This window comes from Homo sapiens, chromosome 6, assembly GCF_000001405.40.
Source record: "Homo sapiens chromosome 6, GRCh38.p14 Primary Assembly".
Classification (NCBI taxonomy): Eukaryota; Metazoa; Chordata; class Mammalia; order Primates; family Hominidae; genus Homo; species Homo sapiens.
In genome coordinates, this window is record NC_000006.12 from 157,546,234 (window position 1) to 157,566,489 (window position 20,256).

At 47.5% G+C, this 20,256-nt stretch overlaps 1 protein-coding gene across 7 annotated transcripts in view, besides 9 other annotated features; it reads left to right on the forward strand.

Moving 5' to 3' along the window:
- Window positions 1-20,256, forward strand: part of ZDHHC14 (zDHHC palmitoyltransferase 14) — a 296,968-nt gene that overhangs the window by 165,044 nt on the left and 111,668 nt on the right. The gene's annotated exons all lie outside the window — the stretch shown is intronic.
- Window positions 3,930-4,130: a silencer, noted in NCBI's record as "peak6260 fragment used in MPRA reporter construct". NCBI's record gives its function as "represses an SCP1 promoter by STARR-seq MPRAs in K562 erythroleukemia cells {active_cell/tissue: K562}" and the evidence as "EXISTENCE:reporter gene assay evidence [ECO:0000049][PMID:32103011]".
- Window positions 5,988-6,810: an enhancer, noted in NCBI's record as "OCT4-NANOG-H3K27ac-H3K4me1 hESC enhancer chr6:157973253-157974075 (GRCh37/hg19 assembly coordinates)". NCBI's record gives its function as "activates a minimal SCP1, AML or CMV promoter by ChIP-STARR-seq in naive and primed H9 embryonic stem cells {active_cell/tissue: H9 hESC(naive and primed)}" and the evidence as "EXISTENCE:reporter gene assay evidence [ECO:0000049][PMID:30033119]".
- Window positions 10,478-10,787: an enhancer, noted in NCBI's record as "active region_25333". NCBI's record gives its function as "activates an Ori minimal core promoter by ATAC-STARR-seq in GM12878 lymphoblastoid cells {active_cell/tissue: GM12878}" and the evidence as "EXISTENCE:reporter gene assay evidence [ECO:0000049][PMID:35858748]".
- Window positions 10,478-11,271: a biological region, named in NCBI's record as "H3K27ac-H3K4me1 hESC enhancer GRCh37_chr6:157977751-157978536".
- Window positions 10,486-11,271: an enhancer, noted in NCBI's record as "H3K27ac-H3K4me1 hESC enhancer chr6:157977751-157978536 (GRCh37/hg19 assembly coordinates)". NCBI's record gives its function as "activates a minimal SCP1, AML or CMV promoter by ChIP-STARR-seq in naive H9 embryonic stem cells {active_cell/tissue: H9 hESC(naive)}" and the evidence as "EXISTENCE:reporter gene assay evidence [ECO:0000049][PMID:30033119]".
- Window positions 15,175-15,304: an enhancer, noted in NCBI's record as "active region_25334". NCBI's record gives its function as "activates an Ori minimal core promoter by ATAC-STARR-seq in GM12878 lymphoblastoid cells {active_cell/tissue: GM12878}" and the evidence as "EXISTENCE:reporter gene assay evidence [ECO:0000049][PMID:35858748]".
- Window positions 15,582-16,555: an enhancer, noted in NCBI's record as "H3K27ac-H3K4me1 hESC enhancer chr6:157982847-157983820 (GRCh37/hg19 assembly coordinates)". NCBI's record gives its function as "activates a minimal SCP1, AML or CMV promoter by ChIP-STARR-seq in primed H9 embryonic stem cells {active_cell/tissue: H9 hESC(primed)}" and the evidence as "EXISTENCE:reporter gene assay evidence [ECO:0000049][PMID:30033119]".
- Window positions 15,665-15,744: an enhancer, noted in NCBI's record as "active region_25335". NCBI's record gives its function as "activates an Ori minimal core promoter by ATAC-STARR-seq in GM12878 lymphoblastoid cells {active_cell/tissue: GM12878}" and the evidence as "EXISTENCE:reporter gene assay evidence [ECO:0000049][PMID:35858748]".
- Window positions 15,865-15,944: an enhancer, noted in NCBI's record as "active region_25336". NCBI's record gives its function as "activates an Ori minimal core promoter by ATAC-STARR-seq in GM12878 lymphoblastoid cells {active_cell/tissue: GM12878}" and the evidence as "EXISTENCE:reporter gene assay evidence [ECO:0000049][PMID:35858748]".

The window sequence follows — 20,256 nt, forward strand, 5'->3', positions numbered from 1 at the left end:
GAAGATAAGGTTGTTTCAATGAAATCTTAACACATTTATGTTGTGCTATCTGGCTAAAGAAAGAAAAATGAACAATTAGATTTGGAAACTTTTTATGGTTAGAGTTATTCATTCTAATTATCCGTTGTAGATCTCTTCCTTATAGAAGCCCATAATGGCCCCTTGGAATCAGCCATCTGAGTAATTTATTGAAGATTTGCCAAGGATTTAAACAGCTTTCCCCTGTCTTCAAACTTCTGAGAGGAGTAGGTGGGGAGGAGGAGGGCTCTGGGCTTCAGAGTCTGTTTCAAGGCTCTTGAAATGCCTTACACTTCTCTCTTCTGAAAGAATGTTCCCGATGACTTAGGGTGCAGCTAAAAAGACATCAAAGAATAGCAGCAGGGGGCCAGGGAAGCTGGGGTCACTGGAGGCTTGCTTGGAAACTTCAGTTTCAGAAACTCAGTTTTTACAGTTCACCCAAGGATGATCTGATCGTAAGCAACTGATTTGGGGTTAGAAAAAAATGACAAAAACTGTACTAGAAATCACAGGATCAAAGTGTTGAATTTCTATTAGGGATAGACCTTTCCAGGGATCAAAATAGGGGAAAGTATTTCACATTCCACAGGTTTCGTCTCTTCCCACCCGTTCCACCGTCCTGACCCGATGCTGAGACTAAGGAAGTCAATGCGGAGAGTGAGTGAGGAGCTGAAATGTGAGCTTTGGCTCCCAAAGCAAGGCTAGTGATTTAGGAAGCGCCTCTTCCAAGCCACAGTAACCCAGATACCATATACATGATGGACTTTGCTTGGTAAGGGTGGAACCAGATCAAAGGATGCTGGTGGGCTTTTAAAAATTCACTTGCGTTGTGGCAGAATCTGAAGACCGATTACCTCCACTCTGTACATGTTGCTGACGAGGTAGAATGCCACTTCCCCAGGCAGAGTAGATGCACCCGTGTGTGCACGCACGTGCACGTGTGTGTGTGTTCCTTCTCTCCTTCCTCCTCTACTCCCTCTCCCTCCTTCTCCCCTATCTTCGGTCATCACCCAATAAACTTTCTTGTAGTACGCAGAACCAATCACTTTACTAAGAGTAAAGCTTATCTTTTGTTATTTCCTAAATTAATCCTTGAAAGAGTCTCTCGAGGAAATTTCTAGAAAGCACAGCACAGCAACTTCCTGACCCTAGGAAAGCCTGGATTTGTCAGGGACACAGTTCCACCCCATCCTAGACAGAGCATCCCCTGGGAAGACTTCCACAACCACAGGAAGTTTTGACCCACTGATTTGACTTGCTGGGCTTTTCCCGCATCAAAGATATCTTAATTCTGTATTTAAGAGTAGAAACATTTTAATTGGAATTTTAACAACACTAATGGATTTTTGTTGGAGAAGATGCTTTCTGAGGAAAAGACTAAGTCAATTTAAGACCATAATTTTCTCTATCGCACAAATTATTTCCAATTGTTTTCATTTAGATTGTTATTTCACTAAAATTCTTTTTATTGGAGTCATTTCTTCTCTGCATAAAATTTATAACTAAGATTTTTCACCAATCAGTATTATGAAAGCTGCCATTATGAATTTTTTATAGAACTATTATTTCTACTAAGAAAAATTTTTTTTGTGATTTGATTTTTTACCATATGCAATTTTGGGGGTCTTTTTGTTGGGTTTTTTTAAGGCAGTATTAATTTCATTTTCTGTTGTCAATATTCACCATAAAATGGCTTTAAAATTTGATGGTTTCATTGATTTGGTTTCATTGATTTTTGCCTAATGAGTAGTCTACTGGCTGTGGTTGATCTGTGATTGAATCTTCATACACTGCGCAGTCGCTTTGTGTACTGTATACTAGTTGTCCATACTGTTGAATATACACCCCTCCCCAAAAAAAAAAAATCTGGCAGGGTCAACATAGCAGGCATTAAAGGTGGCTAATTTGATTGCTTTTTGCCAGTTTTCTTTTCAGAAGGTGAGATTTTCTGAACATTTCCCCCAATTCATATTTGCATCTTTTTACTCACCTCCAATATCACCACAATTCATGCTTTGTGTCGTTTTTATTTGCAGTGGCCCTTTCAGCCTCTCACGCACTCTGACTAGGCCATGGAGGTCCATGCAGAATGGATTGCACCTGCCGGTGTGGGGGTCCTTGCTGCCTCTCCCATCCTCCCTCCGTGCTGCTTTCCGCCCTGTTCTTGTTTTTGTTGTTGTTGTTGTTGTTTGTTTGTTTGTTTGTTTGTTTTGAGACTGAATTTTGCTCCTGTTGCCCAGGCTGGAGTGCAATGGCGCGATCTCAGCTCACCGCAACCTCTGCCTCCCGGGTTCAAGCAATTCTCCTGCCTCAGCCTCCCGAGTAGCTGGGATTACAGGCATGCGCCACTATTCCCGGCTAATTTTGTATTTTTAGTAAAGATGGGGTTTCTCTGTGTTGGTCAGGCTGGTCTCGAACTCCCAGCCTCAGATGATCTGCCCGCCTGGGCCTCCCAAAGTGCTGGGATTACAGGCTTGAGCCACTGCAGCCAGCCTCTGGCCTGTTCTTGACCGTCACTGTGATGCCGCCTCAGTAGCCTTTGGGCTTCCTCCTTCACTACCAGCTTAAGCACTTACCTGTGACCATGAAATGAAATATTCCTCGTGCTTTTACCATGTGTCTGTGTGATGGGTCTGCTGGGCCCTGATGAACAGGCCAGACAGTGTTCATGGCTGTTGTTGATGAAGCGTCTCTCCCCGTGTAGGATGTGGCCGCGGCATTTGCCCACCATCTGTATCCTGTTATACCTGTGAGGATGCCAGTGCTTGGGAGGAAAGGGGTTTGCCAGAGGTCACTTGGCCAGAGCTGGGAGTCCAACACCTGCCTATCTGATATCACAGCGTGTGCTCTTACCCGCTGCACAGTGCTGCCCACCTCCTGCTGCCTGAGGAGCCAGGCCCTGAGGAAGCCATGCTTGGCTCCCTGGAGCAGTGGCACTTCCCCTTCCCATGGACCACATCCTCTCTCCCCGGTACAGCCTCGAGCTTCGAAACAGAAAGCCGAGCCTAGTATGCCGCGGCCGGCGGGCTTGGTTCTCAAATCCTGGGCTCCAGTGGGTGTAGCAGGAAGAACTTCGGGGAATTTCCAGACAATCTAACTCCCCTCTTGGAGCTTCTTGAAGATTCAGGGGCCTTTTTCTAGTGGGACGCTCACTGATGTCTAGATGTTCCGTGATGTTTGAGGCAAGGGAGAGTGGGGGAGTCCCATCGTGCCGGACATACCTTCTGGAAGAGACAAAGGCTTCTAAAAAGGTACATCCTAGAAAAAAATGTAGCTTCCTTGTCTGGGGGAAGTGCCAGAACCATCTAGAGTGCATGGATGCCAGGAAGTGGGGCAGTGAGACTCCTGCACAAGGTCAGGGTGGCAGCTCGGGATGTCGAGATTCCGATGTCCCTTTAACAAGAAACCCCAGCCTGGGAGAACTGGAAACCAGATGTCACAACTCAAAATTATGGTATTTGGGGAAATACCACAAGATTTTGAAGGGTCTGATTCTAAGGGAAGGAGGGAGCCAGAGATGTTTTTCCACAGGATTTGGAAGGATGTGTGGTTTTCATCCAGGACATTCAAGGAAGCCAGTGTTATTTATTCTTCCTATGGAAATCCAAACTTGTGGGAATGTACCATGTGTTGGAATTGAAGCCATTGTCTGATGCAAACATATTTCCGTGATTTTGAAGTTGGCGACATTACTATACACTGATTGGCATGGGGACTTAGGAGGACAGCTCCAGAAAGCTGTCTTGTAGCTCCTGTCTCCTGGTGGACGTCCTTCACAGAATTGTCTTCTTGGTCCTCTAGAGAGCTTTGTGGGTGGAAAGTGGCATTTTCCTCCTTACAGGAAGAGAAATTGAGAGAAGGGGGTTATTTCACTTGATGAGATCACACTTTGGTGCTCAGCCTGCACTGAGCCTAGGAGTGTGAATTCCTAAGTTCACATAGGCATTCTAGAGAGACCACAGCATCACATAGTCATTCTAGCTAGCGACCGCAGCATCACACAGACACTCTAGAGAGACCACAGCATCACAAGACACGCTAGAGAGACCACAGTGTCACACAGGCATTCTAGAGAGACCACAGCGTCACACAGGCATTCTAGAGAGACCACAGTGTCACACAGACATTCTAGAGAGACTGCAGTGTCACACAGGCATTCTAGAGAGACCACAGTGTCACACACACGCTCTAGAGAGACCACGGCATCACACAGGCACTCTAGAGAGACCACAGCGTCACACAGGCACTCTAGAGAGACCACAGCGTCACACAGGCACTCCAGAGAGACCACAGTGTCACACAGACACTCTAGAGAGAACACGGTGTCACACAGACACTCTAGAGAGAACATGGTGTCACACAGACACTCTAGAGAGACCATGGTGTCACATAGGGATTCTAGCGACCACAGTGTTTCCCCTCCTGAATGTCCCTCTTTGTGTAGTTTGTGTACCTGTGTAAAGATGTGAAATCTCCTCTGTAGAATTGATGAACTCCTCCCTAAAGCCAGGATACCACTTCCTTTCAGGTAAGGGGAAGTCTATCTTTCTCTTACTGCACCAATGTCACTTTCTTTAGAGTTTGTGTTGAGCTGGCACGATGATGGCGTACAGCAATGTTGACATGCTCTGCTAAAACACAGAATATACTGTGATTATAATCAGTTCTTATATACAGGGCCATGGAAGGGGAAGGATGATGGCATAACCAGGGTGAGGAGAAGGTCATCCTGAGGGCAAGGAACACAGAGGTTGTGGTGTAGTGGGGAGTAAAGGACCAAGTGGCATGAAGAGGATGGAAAACTTGGGACCACATGCATGGTTCAAGAATACAGTCAAAGCATGGAGAGAGTGGTCTGGAGCATGTTAGTGAAAATTCCAGGCCCACCCCTACCCAGCCAAGGGCATCAAGAGAGGTGATGACTTGTGGGTCTGTCCATCTCTCACAACAGCTTTCCGTGTCCCCTCCCTTCCTCCTGGGGTGCTGGCCACTGCAGGGCTCTGAGTCATGGGACATTCCAGCTTAAAGGGACCTCAGCAGTCATGGAGGTCACCCTGGACAACTCCTTTGGTTTACAGATGAGTAAACTGAGGCTCAGAGACAGGTGTAACTCCACCCACTGACAACAGAGCCAATCAGTGACAGGCCTGGGACCCTGGCATGGGGTCTGGTTCCAAGTCCAGGTATATATAGCCCTCCTTTAACTTCCTGGCTCCTGAAACAGAATATCTAAATCTTTGCTACTCAAACTGAGGCCCATGGAAGAGTAATGTCAGCATCGCCTGGGAGTTATTAGAAATGCAGACTCTTGGGCCCTGACTCACCTGGTAAATCAGAATCTGCATTGCAACAAGACCACAGGTGAGTCACCTGAATGTGAGAAGCACAGCCCTGGGGCCTTTCCACGTCCCTCCTGTGACCTTCCTCTACAGCATAGCCTCTGCTTCCTCTCCACTGCAACTCCCAGGACTGTCGTATTTTCAGGAGTTTTGCTAGCTACAAGTTCCTCTACTTTGAGCGTTCTGTTTAATCACCTCCCTCCCTGCAGTGCCTGTGAGATAAATAGCGTCTTATTCCTTATTATTACATATTTAAAATAGCCATATGAACTTAGTCTATGACTTTGAGAAGTGTGTTGACTTCTTGGGGCCTTAGTTTCAGTGTCTGTAAAATAGACCCACTGAGTGCAAAGAGCCATTCCAGCGTTATCATTCCATGATTCTAGAAATAAATCCCTCTTTCTCCTTTGCTTGGTTGTGAAAATCTGGGAACCTAAATACTTTAGAGGATTATTTCGACGGTTCCACTGCTTAAACAGAAGAAATGACGTCTTCTGTTAATTTTAAAATGCAAAGCTCCGTGCACACCCATGTAAATTCAACAAGCAAACTGTAGGTACTGCAAAATAAGATATTTCAATGACTCACTGGAATATTACTATCATTAGTAGTGTAACTGGCGTATTTGGGAGGATAAAGCAAGATGATGGAACGGTAGCTCTTTTGAGTGAGTGAGGGAGTGAGTCAGTCAGTCAGTTGGGTTTTAGAAGGAAGCCAGAGATGAAACCCTTCATGCAGAGTCGGCAGGGCAGGGCAGGCGGCACATTGGGCACAATAATCTCTGGAACAGCCCTCTGCAGTGGATGTGCTGGGCGTGAGGAGGAGGGGAGGCCAGATGGGCTTTTCAGGAGAAAAACCCCCCTGGAGGATGTTAATCAGGGGAGTGGGCAGCTCTTTGTGCTTGGGAAGTGGGAGGCATTTTTATTCCAAGTGTGGAGGTAACATGAAAGGCAGCTCAGGAACAAAAGGAAGCAAAGGACTCAATGAGGACGGAGGAAATGGACCAAGGCAAGGAGGTGTGGCGGGACCTGTTTGGGAGGAGACTGACCTGGGAAGACTGAGCAGGTGCAACGGCATGGAAAAGAGTCCCAGCCATGCTGAGCCCAGGAGGGGACTTAGAGAGCAGAGGCTGCTGCCTCAGAAGCCAGGCCTTCCCTGCAGAGCCTCTCAGGGACAGCTTGTTTCCTAGCGGCCCCAGGAGCCTTCTACACCCTGCCTTATAATACACATCTGCAAGTTTTTGGTGGCTGGAGTTGTGACTGGGAATCTGATCTAACCTAGAGCCATCTGCCAAACTACACACTCAGACTGTCCCTGATTACCTCTCACACCTCATTGTTAAAATTATTCAGGACATTTGTTAAAACATGAAGGCAGACTGTATTCAGGGAGACCATGCAGGGTCATAGGGACCAGTGCAGTGGGGTTTGCAGTAGGGAAGAGGCATTGGGCTCCGCTCCAAATACAGCAAGGAACAGTGGGAATTTACAGCCAAGGAGCAGAGTTGGGAGCAGTGGATGGAAGACTACTAAAAGGAAGCCTCAGGGCTGAGGGGGCTTCTGGCTAAACCAACCTAACCAGATTCCAGGCGAAGGCAGGCCAGGGTGGTCAGAGATTCCCTGGGGGATGGTGGGGGATGAGGAGCCCCATTGAGTAGCAAAGGGGATCAGATATTGAGGGTGAGGGTTCTGGCTAACTCGACTCAGCAGGACTTTTGCTAAAATTGAGCATTGCAGAAACAGACATAGAAGCCCCCAAATCAGGGCCTCGCTGGGAAGAGCACTCAGAGATGCCTGACTAGAGTTTGGCAAGGATGGGATCTTCCTTATCACGGATGCCTTCAGGTCATCCACATGTTCACACACTCTGTGAAAATAGGACTTTGCTGAGGTGTCCTCTTTGGGGTCCACATGCACATCTGTGATATTACTGAGACTCTGCCATAATAATCACCCTCCGAACCCCTGTCATGATCAAACCAACTCACCCTTTGCCTTCCCGGTGACCTTTCTCACTTCTTTACTTTAGACTCGTATGCTGGGGGGTGGGAGAGGGCTGGGGGGAAATACAGCCTGCTCTGGGGGAGCTGTATCTCCCTTCCCTCTGTGCCCTGGAAAACTTACATGTAAGGATGGGAGATACATTAACTGTTTATTTTGTGTTTCTGGTAGATAAGTTCTGAGATTAAGAATCATTGCCTACAAACATGAGTTGATTGATGGCTACCATGTAGTTGAAAGTCTGACATGGGCAGCACTCAGAGCCTAGCGGGTACTTAGAGAGAGGACAGGGAAAGCAGACGGAGGTGCCACCGGGATGAGTGGAGTTGTCCCATGAGGGCTCTTCCTGCCACCATGTTTGGTAAGGAAGAAATTCCCCATAATTTTCATCTGTCCAAATTTACCTTCCAAGGCTTTTAGAGAAAAAACTTGGCTGACATAGATAGACAGAAGCGAACACCATTTATTCAGAAACTGTAGATAAAGCTTTCTAGGAGAAAACACAAGTCCAAGTGGGTGAATGCCATGTTACATACCACCACAATTTGGAGCGTCCACTTTTTAAAAATCTCTTCATTTTCCTTTAAGGATGGAAACTCGAAGTCTAAGTGTCCTGGAGTGAATGAGGGAGTGGTTCTTTACATTCAGTAGAAATTAGCAGAATAGAAGTGGGCTAAAATCTTCTGCTGCCTTCACCAAACCCAAATATAACACCCTTGGTGGACGATGAGTGGCAGCTCCACTAGGAATGTAAGGCAGGCCGTAGGCGAGACGGCACGAGTTCTAGCAGTGACATTTAAAAAGTAAAAAAGCATATTTTTAAAAGTAAATTAATTTTAATAGTATATTTTACTTAAGCCAGAATATCCCAAATATTATTTTGATGTGTATTTGGTATAAAAGAGTACTAATGGAAGATTTTACGTTCTTTTGTCACACAGTACATTTCAGTTCAGACTAGCCACACTTCCAGAGCTCTGTAGAATAGGCACACGGGACTAGGGGCTCCCAAACTGGACTGCACAGATTTAGAGGACAAGGAATTGGACCTAAAGACTTAACTGAAATCTCTCGGATGTATCCATCTTATTTATTTTATTTTTGATCATTTGAAAGAATTCTAAGCTTTTTGAGCCAGCGAGTAAAAAAACGTCGGCATTTGGGATGTGGCTGTTCCTCTGTGATCACCACTGTGATGGTGGTGACACTCTGCAGAGAGAGATCTATCAAGAATCACACAGGAATGCCTATGACTCTCATCAGCCTTGCCTCAGCTGTTGACTTCTTGGGCAGGGTCAGTTACAGGCTGAGTCCCCTGTGCTCTATATAAGTCCCCACCTGAATTAGGGGTGCCTGCACCCCTGTGTGTCAATCCTGCCACCCGAAGTGGGAGTGGGAGCTATGGTCTTCTCTCTCCTCTATACAGTTCTCATGTTTTTAGGAGAGACCTTTGACAGACTGGGTGACGGTTGCCCAGGGTTCTCTTCCAGGGCCCCTCTCTTTCCCAGCTGTCCCTTAAGGACTCAACATGGATTTTACATCATTTGGATGCACCTTCCTCAATGCCACTTCCATTCTAGAAAAGAAAAGGCATGTTTCTCTTAGAGGCAGATGATGAGGTTTTCGTATCTTACATAATATTAATTTTGTGAATGCCAACAAAAAGTTCATGTTCCTAGAAAGGAACACAGACACGGAGCTGGTCACAAATGGTTTGTCTGCGTAATCAGGGCTGATGAGGCTGCCTGACCCCCCAGGCCCTCCTTGCAGCAGGACGTCTGTCCTGTAGCTGAACAAACTTTTGGTTGGTGACTACAAAGAGAATTCCCCATTTTTTCTCTCAAGGAACACAGACTTTTCAAACATTTACGTGGCTATTTTTTATCGTAGGATATCCCAGACATGTAATGAAAAATGTTCCTGGATAGCTGTTTACTTAGAAAATTAATCATTATCAGTTAATCCATCTTAGGCATGGTATTGTCTTAGGTGCTATAGAAGAATCAAAAGAATTCCAGCTGGAGGGCTAGCACGCACAGTGCAACCCCTGATAGCTTCTTTTTTTTAAACAGAGCAGCATCAACAAGGACAGATTATTGTAATGCAGGGTTTACAGCCCCTGCCCTGTTGCCAGATAATTCCTTGTTGTGGGCCCCGCACCCCCACCCCTGTGTATTGCAGGGTATTGAGCAGCATCCCCACCTTCTACCCACTAGAATTGTGCCAAAAAAATTATCTCCCGACATTGCCAAATGTCCCCTTGGGCACAAAGTCACCCCCAGTAGAGAACCACTGCTGTAATGTGAACTGAATTTGTGAGGGCTGAAGGGACCGTCCGCCTAGGAGGGGATCAGGAGGGATTAATCACGGGAGGCCTCTGGAGGACAGAGATGCACGCTGGATTCACAAGACACGCAGGCCATGAATGGCCGGAGGAGGCGGTACTGGGATGCGGGGCGGCAGAGACCAGGAGAAGGGAGGTGTTATTTTACAAACTAGCGACTGAACAGGAAAATATGGGGACCCCAGCTAGATGTCTTCAGCTGCCAAGCGTGGCGTACTCGGAGTAATTAGTGGATTTGGTTCGTGTTGTGGTGGGTCATAGCTGCACAAGGCAGGCGTCAGCAGGCAGGAAAGCAGAGCCAGCAGAGAGGACAGGGGTGGGGGGTGGAGGGTGGGAAGGGGGGATGGCCAGCACCCCACAGCGCTCGCTGTCCCCGGGCCCCATGTGTGTGTGTTCCACATGCCCATCAGTCCTCTCGGCAGCCCTCTAAGCCAGAGGCTACTGTGATTCCCACTTTACAGCTGGAAAAACTGAGGCACGCAAAGGACGAGTAACTCCCAAAGCCTCTCAACTAGTAATCAGCAGAGCACAGCTCAAAGGCCTGCCTGGCCGCTGAGCTCATGCCCTCACTGTGCTGTTTGGTAGGGGTTAAGGCAGTGCCAGGGGATGGAGCTCCTGTCGCCAGCAGGCGGAACGGGTCTCGAATCCAGGCAGTCAAACAAGGTTTGAAAGGAATACAAATGCCTACCCTAATTGACAGCACAGTCAGGAGCACGTACAGAGTGAGACTGAACAAGAAAGCCAGAGATGGAGTCCAGGGAGACAGCTCAGAGCCGAGGCCCCGGGGCTGGAACAGGGGACACGAGGCTGGTGTTGAAGCAAAGGCTGGAGCAGAGTGACAGGTGGGGACAGAAAGGGGAAGAGATGGCTGCCACCAGCTGAAGGACAGGCCCGGGCGGGTTCCAGGCGAGCTGAAGAGTGCTGACTCTGGTGGAGAAGCCAGTGAGAGGTGGGGCTGATGAGGAGGAAGAGTTGCGGGCACTGAGGGGCTCGGGTTAGAGATGAGGCCAGGCCTGTATCAGGGAACTGGAGCGCAGAGGGATCCCTCCAAGAGACACTGAGGGAGGACTCAGTCCTCTTTCTCCACGAGGGAAAGGCCGAGAGCCTGGACCAGACCATGCCACTCCGGGCTGTGTCCTGGGGAGGCCGCTCAGCCCTCCAGCTGCAGTCACCTTCTCTGAACCAGGGGCAAAATAGCACCACCTGAACTGCCGGGCTGCTCGGAGAATGACATGAAATATTGCACCTGCGGGCCTAGCACAGCCTCTCGCACGCTGTAGCAGGAGAGGAGGATTTGCTAGTGGTGACTAGGTCAGGGCAGAGTGGGAAATTGCAGCCAAATTAAACAGAGGGGCAGGGCCAGCACCACGGGCGGGCAGAGGACCTGTGCCAGGCTGGTGGCTCTGGGAGGGTTCTGCCAGGCGTCAGGATTGGTAGGGGTGCCTGTTCTGATAGAAGGGAAAAGAAACTTGACTTTTGCCATGTTAGGATTTTAGTCTCCAATGGCTCATCCTATAATATATATGGATTTTATAGACATGGACAGAAAGTGCACAGTTGATTTTCACATTCGGCAGAGGTGAGTCGTTGGTTAGATGTGTCCAGCATGCGTTAGATGGAAGAATGAGATGAAAACAAAACGTTATTTTAGGGGCAAGACTTTGGTTGTCCTTATTTGCAAATTTAGCTCTAAGAATAACTTCAAGACAAGGAAGGGGTTTGTGGTCCACCTCTTGTCAGCTGGGTCCATTGCTATCTGCAGACTTCCTCGTTTCATTTCTGTAACCACTGAGAGGAGTGTGAGCAATAGATGGCTCTCAGCTCAGTGCTCCCAAGCAAATAGACTAGCAAAGGAATGGCGGCCACTCCCCTGTGGGAGGCCCATGCTGTGCAATCCGGGCAGAGTACTGGGGACTGCTCTCACTTCCGTCACCCTTATTGGGATAAATAGTGAATTTCCCCTGATTTCCAATGAATGATTTTGATTGGCCAAGCCAGCGCTGTCCAGTAGTCTATAATGTGAGCCACACATGCAAGCCACACATGGTAAATTTTCCAGCAGCCACTGTATAATAGTAAAAAGAAGCAGGTGAAGTTCACTTTAATAGTATGTTTTATTTAGCCCAGTTATTGGGAGTATGATCATTTGAAAAGTAATCAATATGTAAAGATATTTAAAGTATTGAGATATGTTACATTCTCTTTTTTTGTACTAAATCTTTGAGATCTAGCCACAATATGTGTGCCCAAGAGCCCCCTGCAGACAGTGGCCAGCACCTTGGACAGCATAGATCTAAACTCCTCAACCGACATGCTGCCATTCCCAGAAATGGCTGATAATTACTCTGAGCCAGGTGACATTCATGTCCCCCTGATCCCCTTTTGACAGATGCCTGGTATTCTGATGGTTCATTTCTGACCTGGCTAGTCTGCATTACACAGGGAAACTGTTCAAGAGCCATGGATCACCCAGAGCGCCCACAGGTAGGCCGTTCAGTGACAAGAGTAGCCAATCGAGAGGGCTGACACCCAGCTGTTACCAAGTCTAGAGGAAAACAAAACTAATGACTCTGGTGCAAACATGGAATCCAATTTTGTGGAGAGGAGGAATTTCTAATATAAGAAAAGCAATGGCCCATCAGTAAAGAAAGATTGGATTCAGGCAAAAGCAATGAAAGACTCAGAATTGTGTTTTTGGTTTTATGTCTTCTGTTTGGGATCCTCATTTCAGGCCCTTATGATTCTGTTTTTCCACTTGACAGTGCACAGGGTGGTTGTAAGGAGTCATTACTAAAACAAAAATGATTGGGATGGCATTTTGCAAAAATCACCAAGTGAACTTTGGTGGTAAAAAAAAAAAAGCAAACAAACAATAAAACAAAGTTCAAGTAATGTAGATCAGAGATTCCTCTTCCCTGCTGTAGGAACTTTCTAGGGGAGAAGCATCTGGAAGCAGGACTTGCAGGCACAGCTGCTCAGCCCCCAACCTCGGAGGGTGGATTTCCCCCCAGCTCTCTAATACAAATGAAAGTGAGCCCTTTGAGTCTAATCACACTTCCCAACTCTTACAGCTCAAAACACACAAACAATGAGCTTTTTCAAGCTCCCCATGAAGCTCTGCCGAGATAAAAGCAGTTAACAACCACTCTTCCATGATGATAAATGGTTGTTGGTTTTCTTTAATCAATATTTTAATAACTATTTGCACACTTTGACAATTATGACTACAGAGAGACTGATGGTGATTACAGAAGCAGATTGCAAAGGTGATTCACGAGGATGTGGTGGTCGGCCATCTCTCTGGGACAAGTGGGCTTTAGCCGGGAACCTGCTGCCCCACAGGCTTCTGAAGCAGGTGTACTGTAGCTATTGCGTGGGCAGCTGATGTGGCAACAGTCGGCCCCGCTTCCTGGCTGACGCGCTCTTCTCCAGGACAGCTTTGCTCCCCAGCAAGTGCAGCAAAAATTCACTCCAGAATCAGTCACTTGCCTCTTTCCGTGGGCATGACTTTAGAGCCATTGGCTTTAGAGCTGAGTTGGCCACCACCCTGTGCCTGCATGAGTGGAAAGAATCCGCTCAAGCTGGAACTGCCCTCAGGTCTCCCAAGGAGAGCCCAGCCACCCTGCCATCTTGAAGGGCATCTTCCTGGAATAACAGCATGCTCATGTTTCCTGGCACTTCTTCTCATTCTCAGTTAAAGACATACTCCATTCATTGTTTTCACTGTTTTGTTTTTCCCCACTTCAAGCTCCAGGTTGTCATGAATACTATTTTGGAGTTGGACCCATTATAAATGTTTTGTCCAGAAAAGAGTCTGGAAGGAAAGCTCTGAAACGTCTGGATTTACAGAGAGAGAATTAGGAGCTGTCTTTCTACATTGTGTCAAGTTTTAGAAATAAACATGAAGAACCAAAATAATAAAATGATGGAAAAAATTCACTGTGAAAGAAGTTGAAATAGGCCCCCATGGACAGGGCTGCAGGGAGCAAAATAGAAACCTTACTTGAAAATAAACATGAAGATGTTCATGATAGAGTTATTTATAATAGTGTAAAGGAAGTAGAAGCAATTTCTATGCATACCAGGAGGGAAATGGATACACGAATTACACTATACGTCTATGATGAATTACACTATACCTTTCCACTCATGCAGGCACAGGGTGGTGGCCAACTCAGCTCTAAAGCCAATGGCTCTAAAGTCATGCCCACGGAAAGAGGCAAGTGACTGATTCTGGAGTGAATTTTTGCTGCACTTGCTGGGGAGCAAAGCTGTCCTGGAGAAGAGCGTGTCAGCCAGGAAGCGGGGCCGACTGTTGCCACATCAGTTGCCTACACAACAGCTACAGTACACCTTCTTCAAAAGCCTGTGGGGCAGCAGGTGCCCGGCTGAAGACCACTTATCCCAGAGAGATGGCCAACCACCACGTCCTCGTGAATCACCTTTGCAATCTGCTTCTGTAAACGCCACGTTGTTAGAACGTCTTAAAATATTGATATCAAAGATATCTAATGGCTTATAAAAGTTATCCTTATACAATTTCAATGAAAATATGCAAAATACAAAATTGGATGTACATTGGGATCTTAATATATATAGGAATTATAAGGAAATATAAACAAGTTTTTTTTTGTGATTGGACTGGCAAGTAATTTTAGTTTTTTTCTCTGTACGTTTCTGATATTCCCTATGATGAGCATGTGTTACCTTTATAATTAGAAGAAAAAAAATCAGTAAATGTCATTACATAAACTCTAGCATTAATAGATATGCATTCAGCAAACATTTATTAAGCAGTACTTCTTACTCATTGCCTTGGCCTTGGCAAATCACGAATTCTCTCTAGGGGCTTTGTGTTTTCATCTGGATAATGGGATCCCACGGCCTTGCCTGACTCACAGAAGCATTATGAGGAACGGATGCATTAACCTGAAGAAGCTGTGAAAATAGCAGATTGCTTATCCAAGCACAACATTATGAGGCGTGGCGTGTCTAATCACGAACCCACTAGAACATGAGAAAGAAGAAATTGAACAAGACTGTAATGAGTTGTTTGGAATGGAAGCCCATAAGAAACTAAAACCAAAAAATAGTCAGCATTTAAATGCAGAGTGCAGAAGGACATTTCGGGGAGCCCAGGTCCTCAGAGCGTGGGGGTGTTAGCTGCCCTGTGCAAGGCGGTCCTTTATTGGAAATCGCCTCAGAGAGCATTGCTGAGTGTGGCTTCTTGCAACTACACCTGAGAACGACATTCACTCTGCTTCATTGAAAACAATCTATCCCGTGTGTGGAAGAAGCATGCCTTGCTGGGGTCAGGGCCAGGGACAAAGCTCAGAGGCCATGCTGAGTTTTCATCAAACACCTGCTGAGCAGCTGGCACGTGCCAGGACACGGTCTAGGCTGAAGGCTGCCATCGTAGTGCAGAATAGAATCCCGTGGAGGTTGGAAATGTTTACCTGCTTGCTTTTTTTCTTACCGTGTGTATTATTTTCAGTAATAAAATGTATACATATACAAGTGAGCACCTTCCCCTGGAAATTCTGACTCAGCAGGTAGAGTGTCCGACGGGCGCGCATGTGAGACCTGCTGTCCCGGCGCTCAGATACACATGGGGGACAAAAATGACAAAGCAGCCACCCTCAGTTTATAATTAGGAAACAGAAACTATACACGCACACCTGGCACAGAGCAGGTGCTCTCACCCAGACCTCTTGAATTGTTGAGTTGAATTTATTTATTTATTTGAGATGGAGTTTCACTGTTGTCACCCAGCCTGGAGTGCAGTGGCGTGATCATGGCTCACTTTAACCTCCACCTCCTGGTTTCAAGTGATTCTGCCTCCACCTCCCAAGTAGCTGGGATTATAGGTGTGCACCACCACACCCGGCTATTTTTTGTATTTTTTGTAGATAAGTGGGGTTTTCACCATGTTGGCCTCCCAAAGTGCTGGGATTACAGGTGTGAGCCACTGTGCTGGGCCCTGAATTTAAAAGTTAAACGCAGAATACATAGATGTTCTCAGAGGGTTAGATACTTTTTTTCCCTTAGTATCTGAGGTTTTTGTGGGTTCAGTGAGAAACCTGGGTGTTTATAACATATAAACAAAATGATTTCAGTTCCTCAACTCACACAGCTTTTCACAGGGAAGGGGCAGAAGATGCAGCTTGAAGGTATCCAGAAAACATGTGTGGGGCAGTCAGACGGAGCAGCTGCAGCCTGGGGGCGTAGGGGCTGTGGGGACCTGCAGTAGCCTGGTTGGCAACCATGAGAAGAGAGAGGAAGGGCCTATAAGTCAGTCCATCTGTGACCACAACACCCACAGCCCTGGGCAATGAAGGGCAGAAGTGGGGACCAGGGATGCCCAACTGGGGTTTAGCCGTGAGAACAGCTGGTGCAGCCTCAGAGAAGGCGCTGCAGAAGCTCCCAGGGTGGACGCTGGGACTCCTGGGCCAGAAGCTCTGTGAGCGTGGCGAGGGGTCTCTGCCTTGTTCCGCTGTCCCTGGCTGGCCCCTCATTTTCTGTTGGTGGGGCCAGGGCTGCTGCTGGGCTCTCCATGCGATTCTCTAGGCAGATTTGGGGTGGGGGCTCCCGAGAGGGTCTGTGAAGACTACCACTTCTCCAGGTACAGAGAGGGAGGGGACCCTAAGCTGCTGCCTCTCGCTGAGGTCAGCAGACACTCGATGAGCCACCTGAGCAGCTCATTCGCAGGCAGGTTCCAGGCCCAGTCCTGAGCTCACCACCCAGAGTCTGTTGGAGACAGGACCTGGGAATCTGCATCTAGCACAGTAATGTTTGAGAGTCACTGACTTAAAATATCCTCACATATATAGGGAGCGTTTTATGTGTGTGAAGTGTAGTGCTGTGGAGAGGGGCAGCCTCCTCAGAAAATGGAGGTTGTGTCAGCTAGGAAGCTGCTCAGGACAACGGTTCCCTCCCGCCTCCCACCGCCCCCCAAGCACCCACTGTGCCCAGGTCAAGGAAGAACCTAGAACTCCCCAACCCCACCCCTGCCCTGCAAGAGCTGTGCATTCCTGACAAGAGGCTGCCCAGGAGGTGAAAGGGAGCAAGGCGGCATGGAGGCTGGGGCCATGTGGATGTAGGGTTCATGGTCTTCCTGCGGTAAGAAGCCGGCTCCACAAGGGCCTAGTGTCTCCCAGGCACCCGGAGCTGGGCTGGACTCCTGGAGGTGGTAACTAAGGCAGAGTCCTTGCTCCCACTACAAGCCTGGAGGCTGGAGGGGAAGGCAGCCAGGTTGACTCAAGGGCCTGGATGGCAGAAGTACTGGCCAGGCCTGCCCTCCCAGGAAACACCACGGCCACCGCTTAGCAATGCTTCCTGGAAAGGCCCCTGCCCGAGCTTGGCCTGCCTGGGCGTTAAGCGTGCCTCTTCCCCAGCTCCAAGCCAGAAGAGGAGCCGGAGCAGGTCCGGGTGATGTGAGATCACCCAGGAGTGGCTGGTTTCTGCCTTGCCCTGCTCTGACTTGGGGGAGGCTGTTTTGTTTCTTCCCCCTTCCCGGAGTGGAATTTCTCTGTTGAAAGTGGGAGTGTGTGCTCTTATGCCTCCAATACCTGGTTCTCAGGTGGTGCTTATTAGAGAGACCCCATGGCAAGCACTTGCCAGCCCCAGCAGCTCCGTGTATCCACACTGTGTGTATCCAGAACAAAGCTGGTCACTTCTTTACATAGGATGTAAAAAAGATTGGAGTGTGTCCCCAGCCAGCAGGGGCATGCGGTGGGCACTGAACAGGACTAAGTGCGAACTAGGACCAGAGGCACAAGTCACGGATTGCAGATGTCCAGACCTCAAACACCCGGGGAACTCTAAGGCCAGACTTCTAGGTTAGTTAGTTGAGGCTGTGGGGCTGCGGTGAGTGAGGTTGCATTGCAGTTGCATTGCAGTTCTGGGACTTTTCTAGAAGCTGCATGGAAGCGAAACAGTGTGCTCTGGTGGGCTCATAGGCTTCAGGCTGAATTCAGTCATCCCCAAATCTAGCCATTCTGAGTGGCTCCCTAAGGGGGAACCCCTGTCTGCAGACCAACCCCAAGGGCCAGACAGAAAGCAAAAGCCTACCAGGTTTCACTCTGAGGATGTCAGGGCCCTTGCAGAGAGGAAACTGGGCTGGAAATTCAAAGAATGTCTCAGAATCGTATTTCTCCTTAGTGAAATTGACAAAAGAATTGAGAAACTCCTTTTCTGCTGACCAGATTTTTAAAAAAATCCAACCTCACATTCTTCAGTTAGAACTGTTCTTGCATGGTGGTCACAGCTGGTGCCTGCTCACTCATAGTTGGGGCAGGGCGGGGGCTTTGGTTGGATAATCAGGCAGAAGACAAAGATTCAGATCCCAATTCCCTCTGCCGTCTTCATGTCAACCACACCAGGAACCTGAGCAGGTCTCTTTCTTTTCCAGAAGTGGGGTTGGGGGGAAGAACATATTCAGAGGCATCAGTATGTCTATTTGGCTGGAAAGAATTATAGGTATTTAGGAATTGTCTTTTATGTTATGAATACATTTTTTAAAATATGTAGAAATTGGTGACCATTACAGACAAATCTCTAGAACTAGAAACTCAGTTCAACCCAATACATCAGATGTCTAGTGAGTTGTCAGACATCTCTGCAAGGTAGTAAACATTGAAAATAATACAAAGATAAATGAAATAAGTTTTGTGTATGTCAAAATCTAGACCAAACTGCTATTGATCACAAGATGCTTGCTAAGAAATAATTTCTTAAATCTGTCAGCCCTTACATTTTGATTTCACAGCACTTATAGTCCTTTATTAAAGTACCACTGAGCACCAGCAAAGGAGGACAAAATCAATACTGCCAATCTTATGATCAGACTTAGATAAAACTCATTTTTGCCTGATTTCCCTTTGAGAACTCATAGGTTTGGGCCTCTGACGGCTGCTCTGGGTCCTCCAAGGTCAATACGGGGCAGGAGGGGTGAAATTATAGAGATCTGTGGGTGAGCTTCTGCATGCTGCTTTTGATGTAAAAGTATTTTCCAAAGTAAGAATATTTGGGCCGGGCATGGTGGCTCACGCCTGCAATTCTAGCACTTTGGGAGGCTGAGGTGGGTGGATCACTTGAGCTCAGGAGTTCGAGGCCAGCCTGGGCAGCATGGTGAAACCCCACCTCTACTAAAAATACAAAAACATTAGCCAGGTGTGGTGGCATGCACCTGGAGTCCCAGCTACTTGAGAGGCTGAGGTGGGAGGATCACCTGCGTCTGGGAGGTCAAGGTTGCAGTGAGCCAAGATTGCACCACTGCACTCCATCCAGGCAAAAGAGTGAGACCTTATCTCCAAAAAAAAGAGTATTTGAATAATTTCATTTTAATCAGTCTAAGTAGAGAGGTGTTGAGATTTTTCGTGTAATTAATGGTGGACTGGATTTGAGTTAAATAAGCATTGATTAAGTGCTTGCCTATTGTGTGCCTTCAACACATTTACCATCTGTGGGAATAAGGCAAAAATACAAAAAATTAGTTTATGGGGAACATAGGCAAGTTACTTAGTGTTATTCAGATTCAGTCACATGCATATTGAAGAGCCCAAACCAAAGCAAGGGTCAGTGGAGTCAAAAGATTGGGTACAGGCCAGATGCAGTTGCTCGCGCCTATAATCCCAGCACTTTGGAAGGCCGAGGCGGGCGGATCACCTGAGATGAGGAGTTCAAGACCAGACTGGCCAACATGGAGAAACCGTGTCTTTACTAAAAATACAAAAATTAGCTGGGTGTGGTAATCCCAGCTACTATGGGGGGCTGAGGCAGGAGACTGGTTTGAACCCAGTGCAGGAGGCGGAGGTTGCAGTGAGCTGAGATTGCACCACTGCACAGGTGATGGAGCAAGACTCCGTCTCCAAAAAAAAAAAAAAAGGTTGGGTCCAGAGAAACCCCTGTCCAGAATCCTAGACCCAAAACAGATAGGAACCTCTCTCTCCAGCCCCCTGTTATATACACCTAAGAGACCCAGGGAAGTTAAGTCACTTGTGGTGGCAGAACGGGGACAATATAACTCGGTTTCTTGATTCCCAGGAAAACGCTCTTTCCTCTGCCCCTGGCTTTCTCTGGGTGCACAAGCTGGATAATATTTTGGCAGATGAAAGAATGCAATTTCCAGTAGCATAAAAGGCACTTTTCTTAGAGATAAATGTTATGCCGATGTTACCAAGCAATCACTGGGCTCACTGCCTGATGCACATAGAGGCCAACACCATGGCATTGGCTTTTGAGAGAAGAAAAGCTCTATTGCGAGTCAACTGGCAAGGAGAAAGAAGGAAAAGCTCAAGTCTTTCTCTCTAAAAAAACCCGAATTCCTGAAGCCAGTCCCACTGTTGGCTAGCCGAATCCAGACTGTCATTTGCCAGGCTGGGGGTGTCTCTCAGTCCACCAGAGCACGAAGTGGCCAGAAACAGAAACTGCTGTTTGCTAGGATGGGATGTTTTTCAGTTCCCCAGAGCACAAAATGGCCAAGGAAAAGGACAGAACTGAAACCAGAGGTGTACTGTGCTTAGTCCAGAGATCCCATTGCTAGATCCAGAGAATT